Source organism: Homo sapiens, chromosome 17, assembly GCF_000001405.40.
Source record: "Homo sapiens chromosome 17, GRCh38.p14 Primary Assembly".
In the NCBI taxonomy this organism is placed as follows: domain Eukaryota; kingdom Metazoa; phylum Chordata; class Mammalia; order Primates; family Hominidae; genus Homo; species Homo sapiens.
In genome coordinates, this window is record NC_000017.11 from 80,393,343 (window position 1) to 80,405,748 (window position 12,406).

General features: G+C 47.1%; 1 protein-coding gene and 1 long non-coding RNA gene across 6 annotated transcripts in view, besides 3 other annotated features; one reads left to right on the plus strand and one right to left on the minus strand.

Annotated features, from left to right (window-relative positions):
• Window positions 1–5,452, plus strand: part of RNF213 (ring finger protein 213) — a 137,943-nt gene extending 132,491 nt beyond the window's left edge. For 3 of the 5 annotated variants that reach the window (NM_001256071.3, XM_047436482.1, XM_017024905.3), the window contains one exon: window positions 3–5,452. In NM_001256071.3, the coding sequence (NP_001243000.2) occupies window positions 3–156 (154 nt within the window). In that variant the 3' untranslated portion in view covers window positions 157–5,452. The remainder of the gene's footprint in view (window positions 1–2) is intronic. The other 2 variants (NM_020914.5, NM_001410195.1) reach the window with 1 other exon arrangement.
• Window positions 1–12,406, minus strand: part of RNF213-AS1 (RNF213 antisense RNA 1) — a 63,339-nt gene that overhangs the window by 41,513 nt on the left and 9,420 nt on the right. The gene's annotated exons all lie outside the window — the stretch shown is intronic.
• Window positions 1,927–2,428: an enhancer, noted in NCBI's record as "H3K4me1 hESC enhancer chr17:78369069-78369570 (GRCh37/hg19 assembly coordinates)". NCBI's record gives its function as "activates a minimal SCP1, AML or CMV promoter by ChIP-STARR-seq in primed H9 embryonic stem cells {active_cell/tissue: H9 hESC(primed)}" and the evidence as "EXISTENCE:reporter gene assay evidence [ECO:0000049][PMID:30033119]".
• Window positions 4,074–4,581: an enhancer, noted in NCBI's record as "H3K4me1 hESC enhancer chr17:78371216-78371723 (GRCh37/hg19 assembly coordinates)". NCBI's record gives its function as "activates a minimal SCP1, AML or CMV promoter by ChIP-STARR-seq in naive H9 embryonic stem cells {active_cell/tissue: H9 hESC(naive)}" and the evidence as "EXISTENCE:reporter gene assay evidence [ECO:0000049][PMID:30033119]".
• Window positions 4,582–5,088: an enhancer, noted in NCBI's record as "H3K4me1 hESC enhancer chr17:78371724-78372230 (GRCh37/hg19 assembly coordinates)". NCBI's record gives its function as "activates a minimal SCP1, AML or CMV promoter by ChIP-STARR-seq in naive H9 embryonic stem cells {active_cell/tissue: H9 hESC(naive)}" and the evidence as "EXISTENCE:reporter gene assay evidence [ECO:0000049][PMID:30033119]".

Consider the following 12,406-nt stretch of genomic DNA (forward strand, 5'->3'; position numbering starts at 1 on the left):
AGCCTGAGAGACACTCTCGTAAGTTACATGCAAACTAAAGAAAGTGAAATTCTTCCTGAAATGGCATCTCAGTTCCCAGAAGAGATACTGCTCGCCAGCTGTGTCTCAGTGTGGAAAACAGCTGCTGTGCTGAAATGGAATCGAGAAATGAGATAGAATTATTTCCTCAGCTATCTTTGGATGACTTTGGAGAGAAGACTCCTCTCTCCTCGTCTGCGGCGTGGACTTGATCATGGACTGGTGCCTTTGCATTCAGAAGGAGAGCTGTCAGCGTAGCACCGAATTCAAGACCAAGGCGTGCTACCTGAGCTGACAGCTTTTTGAAAGCCGAGCTGTTTCTGAACCATGTACATACATGTTCTGAAACTTTCTCATCATTTTATGAGTACTGTTCATTGAGAGATGACAATGAAGATTAGATGAAATTGGAAATAAACCAACATTGTTTACATTCCAGGAGACTTGTAGCTCAGCCACACACGCAGTAATGACCTGTGCCCGTTCGCCTCTGGCACTGCCCACCCCTCTTTTTTTTTTTCTTCTAATTCTGTACTCACAAAAGAGAATCTCATTTTCTTCTTTCTTCCATTCCCTTAAATTCTGAGTACTGTACATATATTTCTGGGTTCCCACGATGATGTGAAAAACTACCAGACTGTTTTTTGTCTTCTCACAAAGACAAGAAAAATCAGGGCATTTTGTGAGTGCCTTAAGATCAAACTAACAAGATCTGACCCTCTCCCCTCACAGTGAGCCACTGCCCCACTTCAGAGGGTAAGAGCCAAAAGCCTCATTGTGAAAGGCACTGGACTTGGACCAGGGACACCATCAGGGCCTTGGTTTTCTCACGCATAAAATGGAGAGTGGATTAATCGCCAAAGATTCTTCTGATCTGACATTTTGAAATTGTGAGAGAAACTAGATGACTGTAAACTTGGTCACAGGCCTGGTTCTGGCAGTTCTTTGCGGACTTTTTTCTAGCATTATGCCAAATAAACATGCAGTCTCAGTGTGCTCTCGCATGTATGAATATCTAGTCCTTTCTGTGGTTCTCAGCCAAGACATAAAAACTAGGACTCAGAGCACATACAAAACCAGTTATGTTTCGGAAAGAGGGAAAAGAGTCCCCGAGCCCGGATCTTGTGCTGCTTTTCTCACTGACGTGTTGCCTTTTTTCTTTACAAAATCTGCTTTGATACTTAGGACCTCTCTGGACTAATTTCTCTTCCTAGACAGCTCAGCACAGCTATTGATATGTTAGAGGCAGTATCCTTAATATTCATTCTAAATGAGTTAACGACTTAACTTGAAATTGGGCCTAAGGAGTGAGAACTACAAAAATACAAAATGCTTGTCCAGGACTCAGCCATGCACACCTTGAGCAGCGCCGGCAGGAGGCACGGAAGGAACTGTGCTCCGTTCTCCTCACTGTCATGGTGCCACCAGTGTCTGATGAAGGGCAGAGTGACCCAGACTGCAGGCAGTAACTGACTTCACACAGTCCCTGGCATTTAGTCATCTGTGATTGTTTTATCACTCTGGACTGTGCAGAGCCACCTGCCACCGAGATCTGCATTCCGACTGCCTATGAACGGGTGTGGGGGCCGGGGGCTGGCTTGCTGAAGTCTTCAACTTGCACTCGGAGCTCCTTTGATACCTCAGAGCTGGCTGTCAGGTGGCAGCTCACACCCAGACTCACTGGCCACACCTCAGCAGGGGGGGAGTCGAGTGTCAGTCTCTTTCTGTGAAGGCTTTTTTTTTCCTTTGGCCTGGGAATTTTTCCCATTTTTATGAAGGGGTTTTAAATTGTTTCATTTTGTGTGCTGTGCTTCAAAGCCTTAACTGTCAAATCTTGCATTATCTTGTTTGTACAGAAATATACTGGCCTAGCAGAGGCAAAAAAAAAAAAAATGAATTTTATTTTACTTGTCACACCTGTCTTAATAAACTGGAGTTTTGCTGCTAAAGAACTCTTCTCTCTGGGGGCAGAGCTTCTATTTATGGCACATAGACATCAGCTAGGCTTTTGGGAATCGTTTGTGTTCTTTGTGGAAATGTCCTTTAGAAGCACCCATGAAGTAGTGTGTTCAGACTGTGCACACAGAAAACAGGCTCTGCCTTCACATGTGAGACGGTGGACTTTTCCTCTGGACAAAATGACAGCATCCTGGCGACTCCACAGTGGAGCTGAGCGCCACTCCCTGTAGCCGATCTGGGACTGAAACGCTTACACCTCTGCCTCAGAAGGAGTCCCCCATGCCCTGCCTGAAATGACTTCACTGGACACAGCGGGGCTGCAGCTAACGGGGTACAGGTAGGAGCTAACTAACTTCACCCCTGAGTCCACTTGCGGGGTAAGAGATAAACAGTAACCCTTCCAGGAGCCCACTGACGTTGGAGTGCTAAAAATGCCCCTTCAGGGGGAAAACTGCATTTTCTCTTCCAAAAAGGAAAGGTTCTTCCAGGCGAGAAACCTGTGGTCTAGAACCACAGCAAGAAGAGGAGGCATGCTGGCCTGCACCGGAAGACTCACTTTGTCTGCCCTGCGCCAGCCTCACCTCACCCTGCAGTTCCCGTTTCCGCCATGGATGCCTCATCACCAACCCTGACCTTCCCCCTCCCAACCCTTTATTCATCCTCACTCCCACTCATACCCGCCTCCCTGGACAGTTCCCTGCTGCAGAGTTCTTTCTGCTTTCAGCCCTACCTTGGTGGTGATTTACCTGAAAATCTTCACAACTGATCATTATCTCCTTCTCTTTGAGACCTGACTGAAAAAATTAGGTGTGCACACCTGTAATCCCAGCTACCTGGGAGGCTGAGGTATGAGGATTGCTTGAGCCTGGGAGTTTGAGGCTGCAGTGAGCTATGATTGCACCACTGCACTCCAACCTGGGTGACAGAGTGAGACCCTGTCTCAAAAAAAAATAAAATAAGGACCTTATTGTGTGTGCAAATTATTTGCCTTTCATGAATAGTTATGAGACTTTGTGCATGTGTTAACCGAGACGGCCCTGAGCTATTTCAGTTACTCCTGTATGTTCAGGCAATTCCAATTTAGAAACAAACTTCCAGTGATAAATATTGGGAAGAAAATGTCAGCTCAGGGCCAAGTAGGTAAAGCCACCCAAGTCTAGCCATGCACACAGGCACTAGTGTGCTGAAGGAAAACACCTCTGATTTGATACATAAAGTGTGAAGGTTGCATAACTGGGGAGGTGGCTGGAGAAAACCTGAGCCTCGAGCTGAGTAACAATCCAAGCCATGATTAGCATTTATATTGCATTCTGCATTATTCTCATCCTATCACGTTCATTAAGTTCAACCATTACCATTACGAATCCCGTTTCCAGCTGGAAAAACAAGCGCCAGGAAAGTGCATTTCCCCCCCACCCCCCCCCCCCAACCAGAGCAACTTTGGTCAGAAGTCACACCTAATCACCCTCTCTGCAGGATATGCTGGGGATAGCCCTTTTGAGGAGGTGGGGGTGTATGCGAAAGCAACCTGGGGCCAAAGCAGGGGGAAGCAGGAGAGACTGGAGGGGCCCTGGGTCCAGCAAGTGCTCCACCAGGCTGCCCCTGCTCAGGTGCTCCACAGCCCATAAAAAACGCCTTCAGCCCTGCTGTGCTTCCCCTCACACCTAAACTTACTATAAGGGTCCTACCTTCCCCAGTATTCCTTCATGATCACTGCTACCTGTGCCCTGAAGCGCAACAGAACCTCAACCCAGAGGACAGCCACTTCCTCAGAACCCACGATCTTTGCCCCATCGCCACAGGTCCATGAGTGACTCCTAATTACCAAATCCAAGGGCTCCTTCACCCTGACCACTCTGGAACCCAACAAAGCTGACACACAGCCCAGCCCAGACAGGCCTGAATGTGGGTCCTGGCTCTCCCATTTGCCAGTTCTACAGCCATGGGCAAGTGGCTCGACCTCTCTAAGCTTCAGTTTCCTCGTCTGTGAAATATCTGTCAGTGCTCTTAAGGGAGGAGACCACCCCACATATTGTCTTACGCCCAATTTCTGCCTCCAAAGAGAGAAGTAAAAACTAAAAGGCAGAAATGAAATCCACAAGCAGACAGCCTGCACCACACCCTGGGCCTGGTAGTTAAAGATCGACGCCTGACCTAATCAGTGATGCTATCTATAGATTACAGACATTATATAGAAAAGCACCGTGAAAATCCCTGTCCTGTTCTGTTCCGTTCTAATTACGGGTGCATGCAGCCCCCAGTCACGTACCCCCTGCTTGCTCAATCAATCACGACCCTCTCACGCAGACCCCTTAAGAGTTGTGAGCCCTTAAAAGGGACAGGAATTGCTCACTCGGGGAGCTCAGTTGTTGGAGACATGAGTCTTGCCGAAGCGCCCGGCTGAATAAAGCCCTTCTTTAACTCGTGTCTGAGGGGTTTTCTCTGCAGCTTGTCCTGCTACATTTCTTGGTTCCCTGACCAGGAATCTAGGTGATTAATGGATGGTTGAGGCAGCCCCTCAGACGGCTTAGGCCTGCCCTGTGGAGCATCCCTGTGGAGGACTCCAGCCAGCTTGAGCGACATGGATCCTGAGAGCGCTCTCAGGCAGGCAATTGCCCCAGTGGAATGCCTGGCCAGAGCAGTGTGTAGCAGGCCCCCGAGGAGGATCAACGCAGTGGCTGAACACCGGGAAGGAACTGCCACTTGGAGTCCAGACATCTGAAACTTGGTAAGACTGGTCTTTGGAACTTGCCCACTCCATTTGAGGGGAAGCGTGGCCTGATCACCCACGGCGTGCCTGTACTGGCACTCTGGTTTTTGTTTTTGACTTGACTTGGATTGCTTGATACTTTGGTTTTGGTTTTGACCTGACTTGGATATCCTGATACTCTGATTTTGGTTTTGATTTTGGTTTGGTGTAAACTGTAAAAGTGTGTGTGTGCCCTTTTTACCTGTTCTTTGTTTTGTGGTATGCGTGTAGGGTGAGCGTAATGTTTTGTCTTGAAGAAGCATGGGTCAAGCACAAAGTAAGACCACCCCACTAGGAACTATGCTGAAAAATTTCAGGAAAGGATTTAAGGGAGACTATGGAGTACTATGACACCAGGAAAACTTAAAACTTTGTGTAAGATAGACTGGCCAGCATTAGAGGTAGGTTGGCCATCAGAGTGAAGCCTGGACAGGTCCCTTGTTTCAAAGGTATGGCACAAGGTAACCTGTAAGCCAGGGTACCCACACCAGTTCCCGTACACAGACACTTGGTTACAGCTGGTTTTAGACTCCCCACCCGCCCGCCCCAACAGTGGTTGAGAGAACAGCAGCATAAGTGGCTGGCAGAGGCAAGGAAAGACCAGCAGAGAGAGAAAGAGGAAGAGACAGACAAAGAGGGAGTCAGAGAGAGAGAGAGAAAGAGACAGAGGCAAAAGGAAAGTCAAAGAGAAAGAGACAGAAAATCAAGAGGAAAAAAAGAAAAAAAGAGATATATATACAAGTAGTTAGAAACAACAACAACACTGTACCCTATTCCTTTAAAAGCCAAGATAAATTTAAAACCTATAATTGATAATTGAAAGTATTCTCTGTAACCCTGTAACACTCCAATACCACTTTGTTGTCAGTGTAAACAAGGGCATATCCCGAAAGCACTGAGGCCTTCCCATCAAAAATCCTTAACCCAGTAACCCGTGGATGGCTCAAATGCATTCAATCTGTAGCTGCAACTGCTTTGCTAACAGAAAAAAGTAAAAAAATAACTTTTACAGGAAACCTCATTGTGAGCACACCTCACCAGTTCAGAAGTAGCCTAAGGAAAAAAAAAAAAGGATGATTTAACTTTAACTACTGAAAATTCCCTTAACCCAGCAGGTTTCCTAACAGGGGATCTAAATCTTAATTACCGTACAAAGGCCCTACCATACCTAGGAGGAACTCCCTTCAGGAAAGGATGATCTATGGTTCCTCCCAGGTAATTAAAGGAAAAAAAAAAAGCCATCTATACGAATTCTAAGTTAATTTTGACAAAACGAGGTCTTACTAATAGCAAAGGATAATTAAAATCCCAAGCTTACAAGGTTTTCAACAAAAGTAAAGTTTGCTAAAAGTTAACAGTGTAACATGTATTATAGTAATTTCTGATCTTGTGGCCTCAGACAGTCTAGTCCACAGACATAAAAGAAGTTCGCTTTGGAAAAGAATGGTTATCATCTTCAGGAAAAAAAAAAAGAAGGGGCAGAATTTACATAAAAAGAGTGTTATATGGTAAATTCTTGTCCTGAAATAAATTAACTGGTTGTTTAAAGAAAGAAATGTTTGTAATAAGTCAGAAAGTTGAGGCATGTCGAAGAATTGTCTGCGAAAGTCGTGAAAGAGAAAAATGTTATAAAAAATTATGCAAGAAATGTTGTATAATTTAAAAGTAACTAGGCCTCCTAAATGTAAAACTATTGAAAGAAAAAAAAAACAGTTTATGTGCAAGTGTCAGGCCTCTGAGCCCAAGCTAAGCCATCATATCCCCAGGGACCTGCACGTATACATCCAGATGGCCTGAAGCAACTGAAGATCCACAAAGGAAGTGAAAATAGCCTTAACTGATGACATTCCACCATTGTGATTTGTTTCTGCCCCATCCTAACTGATCAATGTACTTTGTAATCTCTCCCACCCTTAAGAAGGTTCTTCGTAATTCTTTGTAATCCCACCCTTGAGAATGTACTTTGTGAGATCCACCCCCTGCCTGCAAAACATTGCTCCTAACTCCACCGCCTATCCCAAACCTACAAGAACTAATGATAATCCCACCACACTTTGCTGACTCTCTTTTTGGACTCAGCCCGCCTGCACCCAGGTGAAATAAACAGCCTTGTTGCTCACACAAAGCCTGTTTGGTGGTCTCTTCACACGGATGCGTGTGACGTGCGTGACATTTGGTACCAAAGATCCGGGACGGGAGTACTCCTTACAGAGACCGGTCCCCTGTCCTCATCCTCACTCCATGAGGAGATCCACGTACAACCTCGGGTTCTCAGACCAACCAGCCCAAGGAACATCTCATGAATTTCAAATCGGGTAAGTGGTCTTTTCACTCTCTTCTCCAGCCTCTCTCGCTACCCTTCAGTCTCCCTGTCCTTCCAATTCCAGTTCTTTTTCCTCTCTAGTAGAGACAAAGGAGACATATTTTATCCGTGGACCCAAAACTCCGGCGCCAGTCACGGACTCGGCAAGACAGTCTTCCCCTGGTGTTTAATGACTGCAGGGACGCCTGCCTGATTATTCACCCACACTCCACTGGTGTCTAATCACTGTGGGGATGCCTGCCTTGGTCATTCACCCACATTCCCTTGGTGGCAAGTCAATTGCGGGGACAACCTGCTTTGGCTGCTCACCCACATTGCAGCCCACGGCTGCTCCCTACCCCCCTTCTCCGTGTCTCTACCCTTCTCTTTAAACTGGCCTCCTTCACTGTGGGCAACCTTTCACCCTCCATTCCTCCTTCTTCTCCCTTAGCCTGTGTTCTCAAGAACTTAAAACCTCTTCAACTCTCACTTGACCTAAAATCTAAGCATCTTATTTTCTTCTGCAACACCGCTTGGCCCCAGTACGAACTCGACAATGGTTCTAAATGGCCAGAAAATGGCACTTTTGATTTCTCCATCCTGCAAGACCTAGATAATTTTTGTCGAAAAATGGGCAAATAGTCTGAGGTGCCTTACGTCCAGGCATTTTTCAGACTTCGTTCCCTCCCTAGTCTCTGTTCCCACTGTGACTCATCCCAAATCCTCCTCCTTTCCCTCCCGCCTGTCCCTTCAGTCCCAACCTCGAGCGTTGCTGAGTCTTGTGAATCTTCCTTTTCTGCTGACCCATCTGACCCCTCACCTCCTCCCCAGGCTGCTCCTCCTCAGCTCGCTCCCCGCCAGGCTGATCAGGCTCCAGCTCTTCTTCAGCCTCTGCTCCCCACCCTATAACCCTTCTATTACCTCCCTCCCACACCCGGTCCGGTTTACAGTTTCTTTCTGCGACCAGCTCTCCCCCATCTGCCCAACAATTTCCTCATAGAGAGGTGGCTGGAGCTGAAGGCATATGTCAGGGTACATGTGCCTTTTTCTCTATCAGACCTTTCCCAAATCAGCCAGCGTTTAGGCTCTTTCTCATCAGACCCCACTAAATACATACAGGAATTCCGATATCTAACTCTGTCCTACAGTTTAACCTGGAGTGACTGAAATGTCATCCTAACTTCTACCCTCTCCCCAGATAAATGGGAAAGAGTTTTTTCTCTAGCCCAATCTCACACTGACAACCACCGGCTTCACGAGCCAGACCTCCAGGAGGGCATCAGAGCAGTTCCCCGAGAAGATCCCCAGTGGAACTACCAGGCAGATTCCCCAGGTATAGCTACGCGAGATTACATGGTTTCCTGCCTAGTTGAAGGGCTTAAAAAGGCAGCTTACAAAGCTGTTAATTATGACAAACAAGAAACTACCCGAGGTGAAGATGAAAACCCAGCCCAGTTCATGGCCCACTTGGCAGTAACCCTTAGACGCTTTACCGCCCTAGACCCAGAGGGGCCAGGAGGCCGCCTTATTCTTAATATGCATTTTATCACCCAGTCAGCTCCTGATGTTAGAAAAAAGATTCAAAAACTGGAATCCAGCCCTCATACCCCACAACAGGAATTAATCAACCTCACCTTCAAGGTGTACAATAATAGGAGGTAGCCAGACAGCAACGCATTTCTGAGTTACAGCTACTCGCCTCTGCTGTAAGACAGCCCACAACCACGTCTCCAGCATACAAGAACTTCAGAACATCCAAGCCACAGCTCCCAGGGGCTCCTTCAAAACATCCTCGTGGGCCTTGCTTCAAATGCCAAAAGCCTGGCCACTGGGCCAAGGAATGCCCGCAGCCTGGGATTCCTCCTAAGCTGTGCCCTGTCTGTGCGCGCCCCCACTGGAGGTCGGACTGTCCGACTCACATCGCCGCTGCTCCTAAAGCACCTGGAGCCCAAACCCAACGTTCCTTGGCCAACTCCTTCCCAGATCTCCTCGGCTTAGTGGCTGAAGACTGACGCTGCCCATCGCCTCGGGAGCCCCTGGACCATCACAGACACTTTGGGTAACTCTTACAGTGGAGGATAAGTCTGTCCCTTTCTTAATCAATACAGAGGCTACCCACTCCACATTAACCTTTTTTTCAAGGGCCTGTTTCCCTTGCCTCCGTAACTGTTGTGGGTATTGGCGGCCAGGCTTCTAAACCTCTTAAATTCCCCAACTCTGGTGCCAACTTGGACAACATTCTTTTATGCACCCCTTTTTAGTTATCCCCACCTGCCCAGATCCCTTACTAGATTGAGACATTTTAACTAAATTATCTGCTTCCCTGACTATTCCTAGCCTACAACCACACCTCATTGCCACCCTTTTCTCCAGTTCAAAGCCGCCTTCACACCCTCCCCTTGGATCTCCCCACCTTAATCCACAAGTATAGGACACCTCTACTCCCACCTTGGCAACCAATCATGCACCCCTTACCATCCCATTAAAACCTAATCACTCTTACCCCACTCAATGCCAATATCCCATCCCACAGCACACTTTAAAAGGATTAAAGCCTGTTATCACTCGCCTGTTATAGCATGGCCTTTTAAAACCCATAAACACTCCTTATAATTCCCCCATTTTACCTGTTCCAAAAACTGGACAAGCCTTACAGGTTAATTTCAGAATCTGCACCTTATCAACCAAATTGTCTTGCCTATCCACCCTGTGGCGCCAAAGCCATATACTCTTCTATCCTCAATACCTCCCTCCAGAACCCCTCTACATATATTATTATGTAGATATGTACATATCTACATATGTACATAATCTACATAACCCATTCTGTTCTGGATCTCAAACATGCTTTCTTTACTATTCCTTTGCACCCTTCATCCCAGCCTCTCTTCATTTTCACTTGGACTGACCCGGACACCCATCAGGCTCAGCAAATTACCTGGGCTGTACTGCCACAAGGCTTCACGGACAGCCCCCCCCCCCCCCGTTACTTCAGTCAAGCCCAAATTTCTTCCTCATCCTTTACCTATCTCGACTTAATTCTTCATGAAAACACAGTGCTCTCCCTGCTGATCGTGTCTAGCTAATCTCCCAAACCCCGACCCCTTCTACAAAGCAACAGCTCCTTTCCTTCCTAGGCATGGTTAGATACTCCGCCTTTGGATACCTAGCTTTACCATCCTGACTAAACCATCATATAAACTCACAAAAGCAAACCCAGCTGACCCCACAGATCCTAAATCCTTTCGCCACTCCTCTTTCCGTTCCCTGAAAACAGCCCTAGAAGCTGCTCCCACACTAGCTCTCCCTAACTCATCCCAACACTTTTTCATTACATACAGCCAAAGTGCAGGGTTGTGCAGTCAGAATTCTTACACAAGAGCCAGGAACGGCCCCTGCAGCCCTTCTGTCCAAACAACTTGACCTTACTGTTTTAGGCTAGCCCCCACATTATTCCTGATACCACACCTGACCCCCCATGACTGTATCTCTCTAATCCACCTAGCATTTACTCAATTTCCCCATATTTCCTTCTTTCCTGTTCCTCACCCTGATCACACTTGGTTTATTGATGGCAGTTCCACCAGGCCTAATCGCCACTCACCAGCAAAGGCAGGCTATGCTATAGTAACTTCCACACCTATCATTGAGGCTACCACTCTGCCCCCCTCCACTACCTCTCAGCAAGCCAAACTCATTGCCTTAACTCAAGCCCTCACTCTTGCAGAAGGAGTACGTGTCAATATTTATACTGACTCTATGCCTTCCATAGAGTCAGCATGCACCACCATGCTGTTATATGGGCAGAGAGAGGTTTCCTCACTATGTAAGGGTCCTCCATCATTAATGCCTCTTTAATAAAAATTCTTCTCAAGGTCGCTTTACTTCCAAAGGAATCTGGAGTCATTTACTGCAAGAGCCATCAAAAGGCATCAGATCCCATCATTCAGGGCAACACTTATGCTGATAAGTTAGCTAAAGAAGCAGCTTAGTTTTCCAACTTCTGTCCCTCACGGCCAGTTTTTCTCCTTCTCATCGGTCACTCCTACCTACTCTCCCACTGAAACTTCCACCTATCAATCTCTTCCCACACAATGTAAATGGTTCTTAGACAAAGGAAAATATCTCCTTCCAGCCTCACAGGCCCATTCTATTCTATCATCATTTCACAACCTCTTCCATGTAGGTTACAAGCCGCTAGCCTGTCTCTTAGAACCTCTCATTTCCTTTCCATCGTGGAAATCTATCCTCAAGGAAATCACTTCTCAGTGTTCCATCTGCTATTCTACTACTCCTCAAGGATTGTTCAGGCCCCCTCCCTCCCTACACATCAAGCGCGGGGATTTGCCCCTGCCCAGGACCGGCAAATTGACTTTACTCACAGGCCCCGAGTCAGGAAACTAAAATACCTCTTGGTCTGGATAGATGCTTTCACTGGATGCGTAGAGGCCTTTCCCACAGGGTCTGGGAAGGCCACCGCAGTCATTTCTTCTCTTCTGTCAGACATAATTCCTCGGTTTGGCCTTCCCACCTCTATACAGTCTGATAACGGACCGGCCTTTATTAGTCAAATCACCCAAGCAGTTTCTCAGGCTCTTGGTATTCAGTGGAACCTTCATATCCCTTACCATCTCAATCTTCAGGAAAGGTAGAAGGGACTAATGGTCTTTTACAGACACACCTCACCAAGCTCAGCCTCCAGCTTAAAAAGGACTGGACAGTACTTCTACCTCTTGCCCTTCTCAGAATTAGAGCCTGTCCTCAAGAAGCTACACGGTACAGTCCATTTAAACTTTTATGTGGACGCACTTTCTTGCTCAGCCCCAACCTCATCCCAGACACCAGCCCTCTAGGCAACTATCTTCCAGTCTTTCAGCAGGCTAGACAGGAAATTCGCCAGGCTGCTAATCTTCTCTTGCCTACTCCAGATTCCCAGCCACATGAAGACACCCTAGCTGGATGGTCAGTTCTTGTTAATAATCTGACCCCTCAAACTCTACAACCTCGATGGACCGGACCCTACTTAAACATCTATAGTACCCCCAACCACCATCTGCCTGCAGAACCCTCCCCACTGGGTTCACCGTTCCAGAATAAAGCTGTGTCCGTCAGACAGCCAGTCCGATATCTCCTCTTCCTCCTGGAAGTCGCAAGTACTCTCCCCTACTTCCCTTAAACTCACTCGCATTTCTGAAGAACAATAACCCTTATGAGCCTAATACATCCCTTCATTCTATTAGGTCTATCCATCCTTACCCTACTCTTCGCAACAGGGCTTTACGCAGTCACCCCCACTACTTGGACTGTGCCCCAAAAACCTGTCATCCCTACTATCTTCTGTCTAGTCATACTCCTATTCACCATTCTCAACTACTCAT